The 17,937-nt window shown below is 47.3% G+C and overlaps 1 protein-coding gene across 7 annotated transcripts in view, besides 2 other annotated features; it reads right to left on the bottom strand.

Moving 5' to 3' along the window:
* SMAD3 (SMAD family member 3) overlaps positions 1-17,937 on the bottom strand; it is a 129,568-nt gene that overhangs the window by 67,499 nt on the left and 44,132 nt on the right. For 2 of the 7 annotated variants that reach the window (NM_001145102.2, NM_001407015.1), the window contains exon 1: positions 1,687-1,929. The exons of the other annotated variants lie outside the window; for them this stretch is intronic. The gene's annotated coding sequence lies outside the window, so the exon portion shown is untranslated. Of the gene's footprint in view, positions 1-1,686; positions 1,930-17,937 lie in introns of those variants that run through there. 7 annotated transcript variants of the gene reach the window in all.
* Positions 6,297-6,736: an enhancer, noted in NCBI's record as "active region_9624". NCBI's record gives its function as "activates an Ori minimal core promoter by ATAC-STARR-seq in GM12878 lymphoblastoid cells {active_cell/tissue: GM12878}" and the evidence as "EXISTENCE:reporter gene assay evidence [ECO:0000049][PMID:35858748]".
* Positions 6,715-7,572: an enhancer, noted in NCBI's record as "H3K27ac-H3K4me1 hESC enhancer chr15:67412437-67413294 (GRCh37/hg19 assembly coordinates)". NCBI's record gives its function as "activates a minimal SCP1, AML or CMV promoter by ChIP-STARR-seq in primed H9 embryonic stem cells {active_cell/tissue: H9 hESC(primed)}" and the evidence as "EXISTENCE:reporter gene assay evidence [ECO:0000049][PMID:30033119]".

The raw sequence follows: 17,937 nt of genomic DNA, 5'->3' as shown, positions 1-17,937 counted from the left end.
GACACAGCCCTTCATCTTCAGGAACTCCAGAGACGGGCACAGAAGACACGGAACATGTAAGGTCAATATAAGAGTTGCATATGACTAATTGCCAGGTGAGTATTAATATGCACAAGGGTGAAGGAGAGAGGATGAGCAAACCTCTTCCCCTTTGCCTACATCCTGTATGGATTCACAGGTAGAGGGCCGTCTGCAGGGTGCGGCTCAGAGGAGGGAAAGGGCAGGATGGGCCAGTCATCTGGGAATGCTTCCTGGAGGAGGTGCCTGAGGAGGAACAGGACTCAGATGGGACTGGAGGACGTTCTGATGGCTAGCTGTGTCAAGCCTGTCACTTAACCTGTCAGCCTCTTGGTTTCCTTTTTTACAGGGGGAGGCACTGCAGAAACAGAGGGAGGAGACAGAAAAACAAAACACCTGGTAGACAGTTCACATTCGACCTCAGACAGGGTAAATATTTACTTATCCATTCATGAGCCTGGCCCTGGGGAGCGACCTCGGCTTGGGCCACCTGGGTTTATGCCGGTGTCTGGGCTTGATTTGAGGCTCGAGGTGGCCGGTATTTAGCCCACGGCACAGAGTCCAGCCCTATACCTTGTCTGTCTGAGAGCTAAATGGATCCCATTTGATGGCAGTGGAAAAACTGACCACCACGATGACCCTACTGCTCACGCCAAAACATACCAGGCAGTGGCCGTAAGAGCTGCCCTCTAATGAGTGCCCACCTCGTCCTGGAATATTCAAGAGTGTGCCTGTGTGGGTGGTGACTATCTTCTCCTCACCAGGAGGTCGTAGGGAGACACACTGCCCCCCACTCCACAATTCAGTGAGGCCCCACCATTCACACCATGTTACACCAAAGGGATGCTTGAACCAGACCTGCCAGACTCTACTGTCGGAGCTCTCCCAGCTAACCACAGAGCTGAGGAAGAGACATACTCATCCGACAAACATTTACCAAGGGCCTACTGTGTGCCAACCACCGTCCAGGGCCCTGGAACATGGTGTGGACAAGACAGGAAAGGGCTCTGTCCTTGGGGAGCTGGCATTTATGGGGTGAAGATGGGCCTTAAACGCAGAATAGAAAATCAAAACCATCTCAGTGGGTGGTACAGGTTTAATGTCTGAGGGGGAAGTTGGAGCAGGGTCAGCCCCTGGGCCACCTGAACATGAAGATCTGTAACAATCACTGCAAAGCATGTTTAAAATACCTATTTCCAGACTGTACCCCAAGAGTTCCATTAGAAATCTAGGGAGAGGCCAAGAAACAGACAGCTGTGGTAACGGGCTAGGAGACTGGCAGCAGGAGGTCCCGGACCCCTGGAAGTCTAGAGTCTGGGCACAGTGCCCCAGCATGGCCCCACCACTCAGGAGGCAATTGTGAGCAATCACAACTCATGCCTCAATCTCCTCATCTGTAAACAGAGCATCCTAACACCTGGCCTGACACCTCGCAAGATGGTGCCAAGACGCAAAGAAGGCTATGGAGGTAAACTGTAAAGGGCTGAACGAAGGTGAGCTGTGCACATTCTCAAACACGACTGCTGGTAAGATGAACCCAGAAAAGAAAAGAAAAAAACTACGCAATTCCCTAAGGACTCAGGGAGTGTGTGTCGAGCATACAGTTTCTGCTTCTCAGTGACAAATACCCCACACCTAACCCACCCTGCCAAATAAGATAACTCTTACTCAAACGTGGTTGCTCAACACAGGCCCGAGTGTGGGTTTCCATGCAGTTGTCCCATCCTGTGGGAATGTCGCATCCTGTGGGAACCCAGCGTGTGGGGTTCCTGGTGAAGCGAGCGGCGGCAATAAATTACCCCAGTGCCGCGGCTCTTGCCCACATGTTGCTCTTATGGTCAGTGCGCTTCAGCCCAGCAGTGACCTAACCCCAGCACCAGTGAACTCAGCAGCAGGCTCCTCTGTCATCCTCCTCCAGCAAGCACAAGCTCATATTTCAGGCCGTTTGCTCCCCTGGGCATGACTCAGAGGAGTCAGTTGTCTTAAAAAAATGCTTTTCATATTTCAAATCAAAAATAAACACCACGCACTCTGGATGCAAGCCATCACAGATGTCTCTGTTAAGCTATTAAAGTGAAAAGGCCCAATAACGCCTAAAAAGTGGTTAACTCCTATCATTCTGTTCCCACCGGCTTCATCCACCCACGGTGGGCTACAAGAGTGGTCCTGAGGCCAGGTCACAGGACTGACATCTGGCTCAGCCAGTAACAATGAGGACAGAGGTCCATGCATTCACTGGGACTGGAGAAGGTGGAAAGCAAATGTCCTATGGGGTGATCCCAGAGAGAAGATCGTGGATCTAGCCACAGAAAGGCAACAGCGCTTCAAAGAGGCTCTCCGTACACACACTGGAGCCGCTCTTAATCTCTATAAAGAAAGAAGCGGGTGGATCAGCAACCAGAGCTGCCAGGCCAGGAGGTTCAGCAGCAAACCCAGTCAGTGCCCAAGCAAGAACTGTCCAGAGGGGAAGGTCCGGCCCAGCAGTGGGTGGGCCTGGATGGCATACGGGGATGCACCCAGCCACCAGGGCCTGTAGCCATTCAACACAACTGCTTCCCATGACTCCCTCCCTCCCTTTCCCCGACCCACCCAGCTCTCTGACCATTTGGCTGGTCGGGTGGGGTGCCCATAAGCAGACAGAGCACCCTGGTTATAACCTCACAGTGGTTACGCTTGTCAATAAATATGCTTGATGTATGCTTTAGCTTTTTGCTAAGAGACAGGAGCCCTGACTCCAAGACTGATGAAATGAGGTTTCTGAATTGTTCAGGCCAGGCTCAGATGCCAGGTAAATTCACCAAGCTCAGGTCCATCTTCTGGCCACCAGCCTCTCCCCGGCTGCCCTGTGCCACATCTTCTCTTCCAAGCCCTCTAGATGCCCCTCATTCAGGCACAGAGCAGAGAGGTTTTTCAAGATGTTTCAACATCACAGGTAGAGGTGTACCTTTGAAAGCTAATTAAAAGCAGAAACTTCACTGTCAGCCCTGTTTAATTTCTATTCAAACACAGTCTCAGATGAGGCCTTGGTCAGCTGTGTGACGTGGTAATGAGGCATTCTGCTGATGAATATTCTCATTCACCAAAGGACAACCAAAATCTTTTTCTTTTTCTAATTCCCTTTGAAAATATTTCCAGAAAGTATTTGTCTACTCTTCTTCCTCAACAAGTCCATCTTCTCTAAAGATAATAGATTTTTTTTTTTCTAAAGACTGACAATCCTCCAGCCTCTTGGACCCAGGTTGTGAAGTTAATTCTCACTGTGGAGATCAACAAGCTGTGTAAACTGCAGAGGTGGATGGCTGGCCGGGTCATCTAGACACCTCAGGGCAATCATTAGCAATGCCTTCTTTCAAAGGAACAAAAAAGCTGGGTGTGGTGGCATATGCCTGTAATCTTACCACTTCAGGAAGCTGAGGCGGGAGGATCACTTGAGGCCAGGAGTTCAAGACCAGCCTGCCCATGATAGCAAGACCTCTTCTCAACAGAAAAATACAAAAATTAGCCAGACGTGGTGGCCTGCTTCTGTAGTCCCAGCTAATCAGGAGGTCAAGGCTAGAGGATCATTTGAGCCCAGGAGTTTGAGGCTGCAGTAAGCTATCATTGCACCACGGCACTCCAGCCTGGGTGACAGAGGGAGACTCTGTCTAAAAATAAGAGACGAAAATCCAAAGGAACAAAAGCTTCTAAATAAAATCGACAACAACCTATTTTCCAGTGATTTGTTTCAGTCTATTCTACAGCATATCCGAAAGTTGGAAAGCAGGACACACTATTTTCCCTTTGTTTCCAGGCTTTTTGGATACTCTGGGATGTTTTATTATAGCTTTTCAGGTTAGCAGTTGAACCCACTGCTTTAAATGTAGAGGTCCTTCACCTAAAAAGAAGGCAAAGGGTTGCAGAAAAACATTGAGTATATTCTTTGGAAATGTCAAAAAAAGACTATTTCAAAATAAGTTTGTCCGTCTCCCAATTTTGGGGCATCCCGTCTATCTGAGTGCCTCCTATGTACTGGATTCTATACTGTAAAATTAGAATGCTGGCTGAAGGTGATGATAAGCTCATAATATTAATGGCTACTATTTACTAACACTTGTAATATGCTAGGAATTGCAGTCAATCTCAAACATGTTAGAATTCTTTTTTCCTTTTTTTTGAGACGGAGTTTTGCTCTTGTTGCCCAAGCTGGAGTGCGATGGCACAATCTTGGCTCACTGCAAACTCCTCCTCCTGGGTTCAAGCGATTCTCCTGCCTTAGCCTCCCGAGTAGCTGGGATTACGGGCGTGTGCCACCACACCTGACTAATTTTTTGTATTTTCAGTAGAAACGGAATTTCACCATGTTTTAGCTAGGCTGGTCTCAAACTCCTGACCTCAGGTGATCCACCCGCCTCGGCCTCCCAAAGTGCTGGGATTACAGGTGTGAGCCACTGCGCCTGGCTGATTTTTTTTTTTTTTTTTTTTTTTGAGACAGGGTCTCACTCTGTTGCCCAGGCTAGAGTACAGTGGCGAGTTCACTGCAGACTTTAACTCCTGGCTCAAGCAACCTTACACTGCAGCCTCCCGAGTAGCTGAGACCACAGGCTCACACCACCATGCCCAGCTAATATTTTTAATTTTTTGTAGAGATGAGATCTTGTTATGTTCTTGTTATGCTGGCCAGTCTGGTCTCAAACTTCTGGCCTCAAGCGATCCTCCCACCTCAGCCTCCCAAAGTACTGGGATTACAGGCATGAGCCACCATGCCCGGACGCAAGTATTTAAAACAAATTCACTGAGATATTTTATCCCTGTTTTACAGATGAAGAAACTGAGGACTTAGAATGTTTAAGTCCTTGTCTGAAGTCCCATAACTTACAAGTGGTGGGGCCAGGATTTGAACCCTGGTCTGTAGGATCCCAAAGCCCTATTCCTTACCACCCTACATAGGGACCACAGGGAACATCATTGCTCTGTGAAAAAAACCTATCCTTGTCTATGGAGTGATTACTTTCCTAAGAAAGTCAGGTAAGTCCTGGCTTGAAAACAAGTTTAAGAGCCAGCTCAGCTCTTAGCTAGATGCAAGACCCTCAGCATCCCCTCACCTCTCTGGACCTCAGTATTTTGGGCAATGAAACTAGTATATCATTTCCTGTGACCTCTTTTGGCTCTAACAAATGGCCAAAAAACCCAAGAGATCACCAGCTCCATAAATCCCCCGATAGGAAATGGGCCAAAGGATTACCGTACGGAAAGCAGTCCTGACTTGCTCATTCCCAAACTCTGGTGAGGAAACCAAGAGAAACCAGCCACCACCCACAGCTGACAGGGTCTGGGGGGAACAGCAAAAGAGCTGACCCGCACAGTACCCCCAGGCTAACTGAAGAGTCCCTGAAGCCTACAGATCAATTTCTCTTTTCTAAGAAGGAAAGGGGAGTATAACCTTCAGTTTCCTCATGTGTAAAATGAAAAGGTTTCATCTGTTCATTCTTCTAAGTGGTCAACTTAACCTCTGTAGGACTCAGCTTCCTCATCTACAAAATGGGGACATATGTCCGGACCTTAGACCAGTGCTACCCAATAGAATTTTTGGTGGTGATGAAAACGTGCTGCTCTATATGAGCTGATCTGATGGCCACTAGCCTACCCGTGCACTTGAAATGCGGCTGGTGTGACTGAGGGACAGCATTTGTAATTGTATTTAATTTTAATGACCCAACATTTAAATAGCCACATGAGGGTGGTGGATAGGTATCGGACAATATAGCCTTAGACTGTAGTGGCAGGAATGAAATCAGATGGCATTTGTAAACTGCCTAGCACAGTGGTGGGACACAAAGTTCTGGAGGAAAAACATGCATGAATATGCAGAGGTCCTATCAGTAGAGATTTTTTTTTAAGCAAAATTTCCTCATATCAAGAAATGGAGGCACTAGAAGCTGACAAGCACATACATGGATGTGTTAGAAAGACCCAGAGAAATCAGGCATACTGTAGAAACCATTCTCTCGGTGTATAGACTAAATGGCTGAAGGTCTGTTTTGTTTTCTTCACAAATGTTCTTGTCAGAAGATAAAAGAGAGCCGTTTTCAGCAAATCTAGGTTTTTATAACCCTAAACGCCCAGTACAAACTGCCCCAAGAGCAAGCTCTCTCTTCAACAAAACCTCCCGTCCTCCCAGGCAGCCACCCCCCGCCCATCTGCAGCCCTCCCCGGGGCCTCTGGGAGCTGCCCACCCAGAACGGAGTGCAACTGACATGTGGGGCACACCCTGCCAGGCACAGTCACTCGTGGGGGGAGAGCCACCCACGATGCCCTCAGGACCCACAAGGCCGGCTGGCAGTGGCCTGTGTCAGGAGTGCCCACCGGCACCCGCTGGCAGCCAGCCTGCGTCACAGCCCAACAGGAAACGAGGAGAAGAGAACACTGGGGCCGCGTGGAAATCCCCACTGGGCTCCACGCCGGAGGGTGACTCAGCGGGGCTGGCCAGCAAGCTGCCTCCCACCCCTCAGCCAGGACAGGGCGGGGGCTGCAGGAAACAGGCCTCCCGCCTCTCTGCAAAGGCTAAGAAGTACACATTCTTACATATTATTATGTTACAGATACAATCATGCCCTGCCTGAAAACATGCAAGACAAAGTCCCAACATATGAGATGGGGATTCAAGGTCCTTTTATAACAGAAAACGCACTTTCTCTAAGCAGGGGTGTCCGGTGTTTTGGCTTCCCTGGGCCACGATGGAAGAGTCGTCATCTTGGGCCACACATAAAATACGCTAACTAACGATAGCTGATGAGCTAAAAAATAATCGCAAAAAAAAAATCTTACAATGTTTTCAGAAAGTTTATGAATTTGTGTTGGGCTGCATTCAAAGCTCTCCTGGGCTACATGCGGCCCACGGGCCAGAGGGTGGACAAGCTTGCTCTAAAGGAAAGTCTTAGTTCAAGTCCTGGAGCAGCCATGAAGCTTGAAAAATTCCCTTCCCAATTTCCCAGGCCCAATTTCTTACCTGGTAGGGCCAGGGTGAGATTCCCACACTCTCCACGGAGTGTTCCCAGGCAACACCATTGCACAGTGCCTCTGCCCTCCTCGCAGCTAGCCCATCTGCCCTTCTAGACCACCCCACAGCACTTAGCAGTCTTAGATTATGGCGTTCATCATCCTAAACACAGACATTTTACCAGGCCTCCCACTCAGATACTGTCACCAGGACAGAGGCCATGCCTTACATCTCCAAAGTGAGTTTGATACATACAGGGGGTTTTAAAAATTATCCATCTATTGATCCAAAGAAACAGCATGGCATGTGTATAAGACTTGTTATCCTTGATACCCCTCCCCAACTCCAGGTCATGGCAGGGCTGCCTGAGCTGCCACAGGCTCTTATCACCTCTGTTCCCCACATCACGTTAAGCAGCCCAGGGCAAAGTCTGTCCCACACTGTTCCTCTTTTTCCCATAAAGTACCCAGTGTACTCCAGGGACTTACGGCTAGCAAAAGAAACAACAAGCAAGAAAGTGGGGAGGTCCTAGAAATCCACTCCTAGTGAGTTGCAAGAGGCTTACTAAACCCAGAGTCTTGGCCAGGGACAGTGGCTCACGCCTTTAATCCCAGCACTTTGGGAGGCCAAGGTGGGCAGATCGCTTGAGCTCAGGAGTTTGAGACCAGCCTGGGCAACACGGTGAAACCCCACCTCCACAAAATATACAAAAAATAGCCAGGCGTGGTAGCGTGTGCCTATAATCCCAGCTACCTGAGGGGCTGAGGCAGGAGGATTGCTTGAGCCTGGGAGGTCAAGGCTGCAGTGAGCTGTGATCGCACCACTGCACTCCAGCTTGGGTGACAAAGCGAGACTCTGTCTCCAAAAAAAAAATTCAAAGTCTTTACCCCTTGAAGTTACTAGAAAAATCCAACCTATGTTATTTCACTTTAAAAATATCAACTTGCTATGACTTTTTCCTTTCAGAAGCTCTCTTGGGCAATTCTACCTTTGGACTATAAGCTTCTTACAAAATAATTCATTTTTCCCATTCCCGAGTGTGTGCGGGTCTGAATTTTATGAATGTCTTTGGCAAGTCTGAGATAATTCAGCCAGGGTTCCATCCATCTGCTTCATAGACAGTTCCACTCACTTGGCCTCTGAAAGCACTCCATGCGCTCCCCACCCACGGTCAGCCCTTACCCAGGTCCCTCTCTGGCTCCCACTCTGTGGCACCCCCACCCCCGCCATGGCCCCAGCACAGCTGTGTGGCAAGAATAACCCAGCTCTCTGTGTCTACTGCCCACCTCCCATTGACTATGGGCCTCCCTGCAATGGGCTTCAGCCCCAACACTCCATCATGACTGCCCTTGCTAAGGTCACCTAGTGGCCTCCAGGTTACAGAATCTAAAACACATGGTTTTCAGGCCTTACCATTCTGGGTTCTCTGCAACATCTAGCACTGCTGCTCCTTTCCTCTTGCTGCAGGGTCTCGTCACTCACCTTCAATGTCACTGTGCACCATCTTGCTTTTCCTCTGTCTCTCCCTGCATTCCCTAAATGGGGCTGTTCTTCAGGTGCAGGTCTGGACCTTCTCATTCTACGCTCATATCCTCCCCAGCCCGGCCTCATCCATACAATGATGACTCACAAATGTATATCTCAGCTCAGACCTCTCCCCCAAACTCCACGCTCATCTATCCAGCTCCTTGGCCTGTGCTCCTGCTAATAGGTGCTCCGTAAATGTTTGTTGGTACACACCAACAGTTAACAAGCACCTGCTTGTGCATGATTCTGTGCTAGGTACAACAGGGGATGCATGTCCCTGAGCTCAAGGGACACAAAGAGGAAAAGTTAGGCAACATCAGAGAAAAGGCAGACCTCACCTGGCTTGGGTTCCCAAGGAAGGCACCATGGCAAAGACAGCATTTGGGTTGTGTCTTGAAAGACAGCTCAGAAACCAGCATTTTATCCTGCACAATGGGATGTTCACGACTCAGGACACCCACATCACATTGAGAGACTGTGAAGCCTTACCTAGCTATTTTAAACTGGTGTTTTGTGTTCCCATGCTGGATGAAAACCTCCTAGAGAAAGGCATTTTTTCTAAGCAGAGCTCCTTCCAGCGCCTTCCGTGACAATAGTGATCTCTTTACATCTCCCCTCACCCGATTCTAGTCTGGTATAAAAATGACACACCTTTGGACCCAAGTCTGCTGGCCCCAGTCCTGATCTTACTCTACAATGAGTTATTATCTTTTTGGAAAATATCAAAGCCCACCAGAAATCAAACAAAACAAGAACTTCTACTTAGTAGCAGAAAATACATGAGATCTGCTTTATCTAACCCTGGTAATAAACACTCTGAAGAGGAAAGCGCTATCCATATCTTTACTTATGCCACCTAGCCTTCTCTCAGTCTCCTCTCAGCTGGGCTGGACAGGCCCTCACTGGGCTCCCCCACTGCAGGGACCACACCAGATGACTTGTTCCGTGCCTATCTTCCCCGACGCTGTGAGTTAGTGGGCACCAATTGCTGTGCCAGGCAGCACCCAACACAAGCATGTTGAAAGAATGAATTTCAGACTCTCTCTTTTTTATTTTTTGAGACATTGTCTCACTCTGTTGCCCAGGCTGGAATGCAACGGTGCGATCTCAGCCCACTGCAACCTCCACCTCCAAGGTTCAAGCAATTCTCCTGTCTTAGCCTCCTGAGTAGCTGGGATTACAGGCACCCGTCACCACGCCCGGCTAATTTTTGTATTTTGGGCAGAGACGGGGTTTTGCCACGTTGGCCAGGCTGGTCTTGAACTCCTGACCTCAGGTGATCCACCCGCCTCGGCCTCCCAAAGTGCTGGGATTACAGGCATGAGCCACTGCACCCGGCCAAATTTCAGACTCTTACTAGAGAGTTCTGTACATTCTCATTACATGTGCTTAGTACTATGTGCTTCTATGTTATCATTAAAACATTACACTTGATCATGTTTCCAGGCATTTTTAAGCTAACAACAGCTCTCTATAAAGAAAGTTTGAAAATCCATGCTCGACAAACCACATCTCTTTCACAAGAGCTTGGAGGACTTCCCAGCAGGAAAGGAAACATCCTCACACCCACCAGAGTCGCCCACCCGGCACATCTGCTGAACTCCACCAGGGACCTGGTGGCTTCCTCATGATCAAAAGGAGACAGCTGCTCTGTGCAGTGGGGTGGCACTGGGCTGGAACTTGGGGGGACCTGCTTTGGGGCACAGGTTTCCTCCTCTGTAAAATGAAGGAGTTGGACTTTCAAGATCTGAAGCCACTGCTGGTTCTGACAAACAGCTCTCTTCTACCGTCATATCCTAACAGAACAAAACCATGCCTGCTCATTCATCACAGGCAGAACCTGGGGTCATCATTTGAGTGAGGCCCACAAGGTGGGAAAATGCCTGGATTTGAGGTCAAAAGACCCAATTGTGTATCCTAATTACCATTTTCAGCCTGTGAGGCCTCTGTAAATGCTGTGCATTCAAAAAGGATTATTACTCTTTCTAGCTACTCCACGAAACACGCCAGCCGTGACCCCAGATCTCAAGGAGCCACATCCCTCCACAAGGGGAGGCAGAGACATATTTAGAAAAATGCCCTTTTCAGTGTGTGTTTCAGTGCTGGGAAGATGGAGGGCCCGGGAGCTATGAGAACTGGGTGAAGTAGTCCAGAATGGCTTCCTGGAGGAAGTAAGCTTGGGGATTTCCAAGTAGTTGACAACTTCTTTCAAGATAAACATTGCATTTATCTGCTTTCTCACCTCCTGACCTTTGCTCTTCAAACCTGGCATGCCATTGTCACTAATCATGGGATTTTACTACAACCATCAAGCAGAAAGCTGGTTAGCTGGTTTCCCAATGGCTGAGAAGTCATCTATCCTCCATGCAGAACAGATACCCCCATCACCAAGGGTCTTGCTCCCTTCCTGATGCTCAGTTTTCTTGCTTCCACCTAAGACTCTCCTTCACTGTGCCCATTTAGGTCCCACAGGCTTTGAGGAGCACTTCCACACCTGTAGCCTCTCCTTGTCTGAAGTCCTGCAGCACTTACTGTCAAGACTAATTGCAGAACCACTAGGAATGATACCCATAATAATCACAGCTGCTCCCCTTTACCACACGCTTCTCCAGCCAGGTACTTGCTCAGCACGTCAGTCATTATTGAGACAACGTCCACACACCCCGTGAGATGGGCGCCACCGTTATCCCTGTGCCCGAGATGGATCCAAGATTCAAAAGCTTAGATTCCTTACCGGAGGCCACATGATCAGTTTTAGGGAAGATTTCTACAAGCCTTGAAGGCCTGGTAGGAATCTGCATCCTAGGACAACGTGTCCAGTATATCCCTTTTGTCCACTGTGTGCTAGGCACTGCAAATGTGAAGATGTGGATGGCCAGGATGTGCTTGGAGGGCCTCACTCTCTACCTGGAGGCAGCCCATCAACCACAGTGCGCTGGTTTATCTGGGAGCTGCTCTCAGACAGTGTCAACCACTGCCATCTCCATAATCCATCACCCAAGGATGCACAAGGCAACTAACTGGTGCTCAGCAAAGGCCAGCTGAGATAAACTGAACAGGAGATGTTAGAGAGATGTAAAAAGTCCTTCGGGTGGATTTCTCTCTGTTGTTAAACATCTCTCTCATCTCTGGACTTCTGTACCCACTTCCAGAGGGTACAGTGGTTACAGAAGTCTCTCTACAGAAGTCCAGAGATGAGAGACATGCTCTTCTGATTACTCCTACCCACCCTTTGGTCTTGGCTCCTATGTCTTTTCCTTGGGGGAACCTTCCCAGACCACCACCCCTTGCTCAAATGGAATCAGGCTCCCTGGACTTCTCATGCATGACTCCTAGCATTTGCAGTGTTACCCTTGTGAGTGCTTCCTCTTTGCTCACTACTATATCCAGAGCCCAGCACAGCATAAGTTGCCAGTAAAATGTGCTGAATGAACAAATGAGTTAATGCCACTGAATCTGTATCAGCCTTGCCATGACTCCAGGAGGGTGGTTAACCAGACATTATCTTCCTTGCTTTACTGATGAGGGAATCACGGCCCAGAGGGCATGTCTCTCACCTGGGCTTGGGGCACTGCGAGAGGACCCAAGCGCCCCAAAGGGGGCCATGCCTTTTTCTTGTTGGATTCTTTGGCAACCAGCACGGCTCTGAGCACACAGCAGATGTGGATTCAAAGTAGATGGAAATAGCAACTAAATGACCTCAGAGATGGAGCCAAAACAACTTTTCTGTTTGCTTGGCATCACATTTCCATCAAAGCAGACTGTGGAGGGAGGCCATTCTGTTTGCATTTTGACTCTATTCTACCTGTTCTGTTCTGAGAACACAGCTCAGTGCTGAAGGGACACAACAAAATCTGCGGGTGTGGGTGAGATTCTGCTTCCGTGGGAAAAAAAAAAAGACTTTCCTACGTCTCATCATCTTTGTAATGAAGCACTAAGGTGCTCCTGGAAGTGCTCATGGCATGAGTTCCAGGAATTCAAAGATTGTCAGTGCAACTTGATACACATTTGCTCAAGGCCTAGGGCAGAGCACTGGACCAGAAGTCAGAATCCTGGCCTCTGGGCTTACTCCAGATCCCAACCAACAGGGTGACCCTAGATGATGTAGTGTCCATATGGGTAAGATAGGGTCAACAGCACCCACACTGCCTTCATCACAGGGCTGTAGCCAAAAAAGCTCCAATATTTGAGACAGGAGGTGTGAAAAGCCACAGGCAGTAACAACATGTGTGGCATATTACAAGGCTGCTCCTGGCCTAGGGGTGACTGTGCAGAGAGTGCTTTTGGAGGGGGAAGGGGGAACTGTTTGTTGATACTCTCCCACATGGAGGCAGAGGTAACTTCAAAGAAAACTGTGCTTACCTGTTTGAAGGTACCCAAAATAGAAAGAATGGCCTCTCAAGCCCCCTAAATTTAGATAAAGACTGGGTACTGGCAGGTGGAAGGAGGGGAGGATGAAGTCAAAGTCAAGATTCTCTGGGTTGGAGTCAGGTCTTCGCAACCCACTCACCATATGACTTAGAGCAGGCAGGTAACGCACCCTGAACCTCCATTTCCCCATCTGTCAACTGCGAAGTAATGACAACTACCCCTTTAAAGACTGGTATTCAAATCTATTTTTTGTTTCTCTTAAGAAAGGATGCTACTGAAAAATGGTAAAGCCCTTTATTGGGTGTGGGACGAAGAGGTCCACCCAATATGACATGTAATCAGTTGAAGGTGGCTTGTTCCTTGCCCCCGGTGAGGGAGCTATCTGGGTGGGCCTCTTTGCAGAGTGGCCATCTGTGCGCCACACATAACCGTAGGTGATGAGGGGCCCAATTCCATGAGAAGCTGTTCAGTTTTGGCCAGGACCTCCCTCATACATGCTGGATATTTCCATCGGGCAGGCAGTCTCAGAGGCATGTCAGAGGGAGTGGGCGAGAGAGAGGACCCTCCAGCGCTGAGGAGGTGGGAAGGCGGGTGGGTTCCACATGAGTGAAGCAATGCTGCTTACCTTCACTCCAAAGTGACGGCCATCTCTCAGGGCAAGGGCACACAACCCCACCTGCCCAATGTTTCCACTGCTTAGCCAGCACTCAGGAAGCATGATGCAAGAAAACACTTCTAAAATGCATCCAGGAGGGCAGCCCCTGCCACTTCTCCACCGCCAAATTGGTCCCAACTAACCTCAACCTGGTGGCAGAAATGCTGCCAAAGAATGTAATAAACATTCCCAATTTGAAAAAGAATTCAATCAAGATTTTGTAAGCATCTCCCATGCTTTGTCCTAAGCACTACAGGGAGATGTGAGGGAAATAAGACACAGTTACTGTCCTCAAAGAGCTATTCGTCTAAAGGGAAAGAACTAACACAAATGAAATGATCCTGTGCGTGAGAAGCTCAGGTTCCTAGGATCTATGGGAGAAATATGCTTATATTTCAGTCCCTGAAAATATTGGAGGTGGGGACATTTTTTTAAACAATCTTTCAGACATCTGTGTTAATCTTGTCATTAGTCACATTTCCATTTTACCCTTGGCTGCTAGAAAGCTCAAGGCCAAATGTGCAGGCTACTTCCAACAATCTCACAAACCTTACAACATATTAGTTGTTGTACTAACATTAACTCTTATGTCATCTTATTTTCCTATTTTCTTGTCTTCTCCCCTAATTTCCTTGTCTATCTTTACTTGTATTTACTATTGTAATTATTGGATTTCTGAGAGTTACCACAGATTCTTTTTTTGAACAATGTAGATTTTGAAAAATATATTTTAAGGCCGGGCGCAGTGGCTTATGCCTGTAATCCCAGCACTTTGGGAGGCCCACATGGGTGGATCACGAGGTCAAGAGATCGAGACCATCCTGGCTAACACGGTGAAACCTCGTCTCTACTAAAAATACAAAAAAAAAATTGGCCGGGCGTGGTGGCAGGCGCCTGTAGTCCCAGCTACTCGGGAGGCTGCTGAGGCAGGAGAATGACGTGAACCCGGGAGGCAGAGTTTGCAGTGAGCCAAGATCGCACTACTGCACTCCAGCCTGGGTGACAGAGCAAGACTCTGTCTCAAAAAAATATATATATATATATATACACATATATATATATTTTAAAAGTTGATTAATACTACAAAGCTATAGTAGTCAAGACTGTCATGAGGATAGATGTATGGATCAATAAAAGAGAATCTTAAGAGTCCAAAAAGAAACCTTTACATTTACAGTCAAATGATTTTCTACAAGGGTGCCAAGACAATTCACTGGGGAAAGCACATTCTTCTCAACAAACAGTGCATGGACATCTGGATATTCACATGCAAAAGAATGAAGTTGAACCCCTACCTCACATCTTATACAAAAATCAGGTCAAGATGGATCAAAGACCTAAATATAAGAGCTAAAATTATAAAACTCTTAGAAGAATGCAAGGGAGTAAATTTTTGTGACCCTGGATTAAGCAACAGTTTCTTAGATACAACACAAAAAGCAAAAGTGACGAAAGTAAAACAAATTTAGCTTCATCAGAATTAAAAACTTTTGTGCTTCAAAAAACACCATCAAGAGAGTGAAAAAACAACCCACAGAATTGAAAGAAATAAAATGGAAGAAAATATTTGCAAACCATGTATCTGATAAAGGAATTTATATCCAGAATATATAAGGAACTCTTATAATTCAACAGTAGAAAGACAACCCAATTAGAAATGGCTAGCCGGGTGTGGTGGCTCACGCCTATCATCCCAGCACTTTGGGAGGCCAAGGCGTGTGGATCACCTGAGGTCAGGAGTTCAAGACCAGCTTGACCAACACGGTGAAACCTCATCTCTACTAAAAAAAAAAAAAAATACAAAAAATTAGCCAGGAGTGGTGGCGGGCGCCTGTAATCCCAGCTACTTGGGAGGCTAAGGCAGGAGAATTGCTTGAACCTAGGTGGCGGAGGTTGCAGTGAGCTGAGATGGCGCCATTGCACTCCAGCCTGGGCAACAAGAGCAAAACTCTGTCTCAAAAAAAAAAAAGGAAAGAAAAAAAAAGAAATGGCTAAAGGATTTGTAGATGTTCCTCCAAACAAGATATACAAATGGAAGGCCAGGTGCGGTGGCTATGCCCGTAATCCCAACACTTTGGGAGGCTGAGGCAGGTGGATCATCTGAGGTCAGGAGTTCAAGACCAACCTGGCCATCATGGTGAAACCCTGTCTCTACTAAAAATACAAAAATTAGCCAGGTGTGGTGGCACACACCCGTAATCCCAGTGACTCAGGAGGCTGAGGCAGGAGAATCACTTGAACCCAGGAAGCAGAGGCTGCAGTGAGCCGAGATGGCACCATTGCACTCCAGCCTGGACATCCCAGCAAGACTCAATCTCAAAAACAAACAAACAAAAAACACAAATGCCAAAAAGCACAAGGAGAGATGATCAATATCATTAGCCAATAGGGAAATGCAAATCAAAACTATAATGAGATACCACCTCACATCCACTAGAATGGCTAAAATAAAACAGACAATAACAAGTGTTGACAAGGATGGGGAGAACTGGAACCCTCATACATTGGTGGTGAGACTGTAAAATGGTACAACCACACAACCACTTTGGAAAACAATTTGGCAGTTTCTCAAAAAGGTAAACAAAGCTACCAAATGACCCCATAATTCTACTTCTAGGTATCTACTCAAGATAAATGAAAACACATTTCCACAAAAAAAGCTTGTACACAAATATTCGTAGCAGCATTATTTACAATAGCCAAGAAGTGAAAACAACCCAAATGTCTATCAACTGAAGAAAGGACAAACAAAATGTGGTATATCCATACACTGGAATACTATTTGGCCATAAAAAGGAATGAAGTACTGACACATGCTACAAATGGATGAACCCTGAAAATATGTTAAGTGAAAGAAGTCAAACACAAAAGTCCACAAATTGTATGATTTCATCTACATGAAATGTCCAAAAGAGGCAAATCCAGAGAACCAGAAAGTAGACTAAGTTGCCAGGGCTAAGGGGGATGGGCAGGAAGTGACTGTTAATGGGTATGAGGTTTCTTTTTGTGGTGTTGAAAATGTTCTAAAATTAGATAGTGATGATGGTTGTACAACTCCATTAATACACTAAAAACCACTAAATCATATCCCTTAAAAGAGCAGATTTATGGTGTATGAATTATATGCCAATAAAGCTATTATTTTTCAAAAGGTTTACTGAATAAAGTCTGGACTTGTGTTACTAGTAATGTACCAATGTTGTTTCTGAGTTTTGACATGTGTACCATGGTAATACAAGATGTTAACATTACGGACATCTGGGTCAGGGGTACACTGGAACTTTCTGTATTATCTGTGTACAGTTTTTCTGTGTATCTACGATTATTCCAAAAGGAAGAATTTCTTTAAAGAAAAGATTGGTCATACAGAGCTAACTATTATGTAATGATTTAACTAGGCTTCCATGACTGTGGTGTACCTGCCCACTGGACCATAGCTGCTCAACGGCAGGAGGCCCACTTTGCAACCAGGGTAGCCCACACAGGGCTGGATGTCACAGACACAGAGAGGCAGAACAAGTAACAATGAGCATTTGCATCTGCACGGCAAGGAACGCTCCTCTTCCCTCTTGTATCTTCTTCAAGCCTCACAACAACACTATGAAGTCAATACTGTCACGTAGGGGGAGGGACTACCAAGGTGCTGTCAGCATCCTATCCCCCATCACTCCCAACTCTGTTTATATACATACACTTCTATTTTGTCAAACCCAAGTTCCTCTAAATCCAAATCTTCTGACATATCCCGCTACAGGCTGGGGTCATGGGAAAACTAGGTGGGCAGTTCCTGGCCTTTCCTCCACCAGCAGAGGTGGTGATTCTCCCTCGAATGTTCCAAGAGTCACTGCATCTATATGCCTTGATTTGAGCCACAGATGTCTGTGAGTTTGAGTCGTATCCCCCAAGCAGCACAGAACTCCAAGGGTACAGCCAGTATCCTAATTATTCCTAAACCCCCTGGGTCTTAGACACTCAAGCACAGAATGAATTATTTCATTCACTGACGACCTAGAGGTGTTCAGCAAGCACAGTCACCCTATCCCTAAAGGAAACCTGCTGGTTTCAGGCAGAGAACTCCTAAAAGGCAAACATTCTTCTTGGTCATCTCTTGCCTGCGTGGACATCACTAATGGGCTGGGGTTCTATTTTCTGAGAAGCACTGAGTTGGTTTCCCCCGCTGACGAGCCTGGGAGCTATGGCTTCATGTTATCTGGAGACCCGGGTGGGTGGGAAGTGGGCCGTGGAGGAGGAGCGGGCTGGCACGCTCCACCAGGCTGATGGCAGCCCCTGCTTCCTGTGGGGCCCATGGCCCACTGACATCACTGAGAGGCCGGCGGAGCGTAAGGGGCACGCGGGTGTCGCAACTGCAGGCAGCACGCGGGGTCATGTG

This window comes from Homo sapiens, chromosome 15 (genome assembly GCF_000001405.40).
Source record: "Homo sapiens chromosome 15, GRCh38.p14 Primary Assembly".
Taxonomy (NCBI): Eukaryota; Metazoa; Chordata; class Mammalia; order Primates; family Hominidae; genus Homo; species Homo sapiens.
Note: the sequence above shows the minus strand (reverse complement) of the source record. Positions and strands in the feature narration are given on the sequence as shown.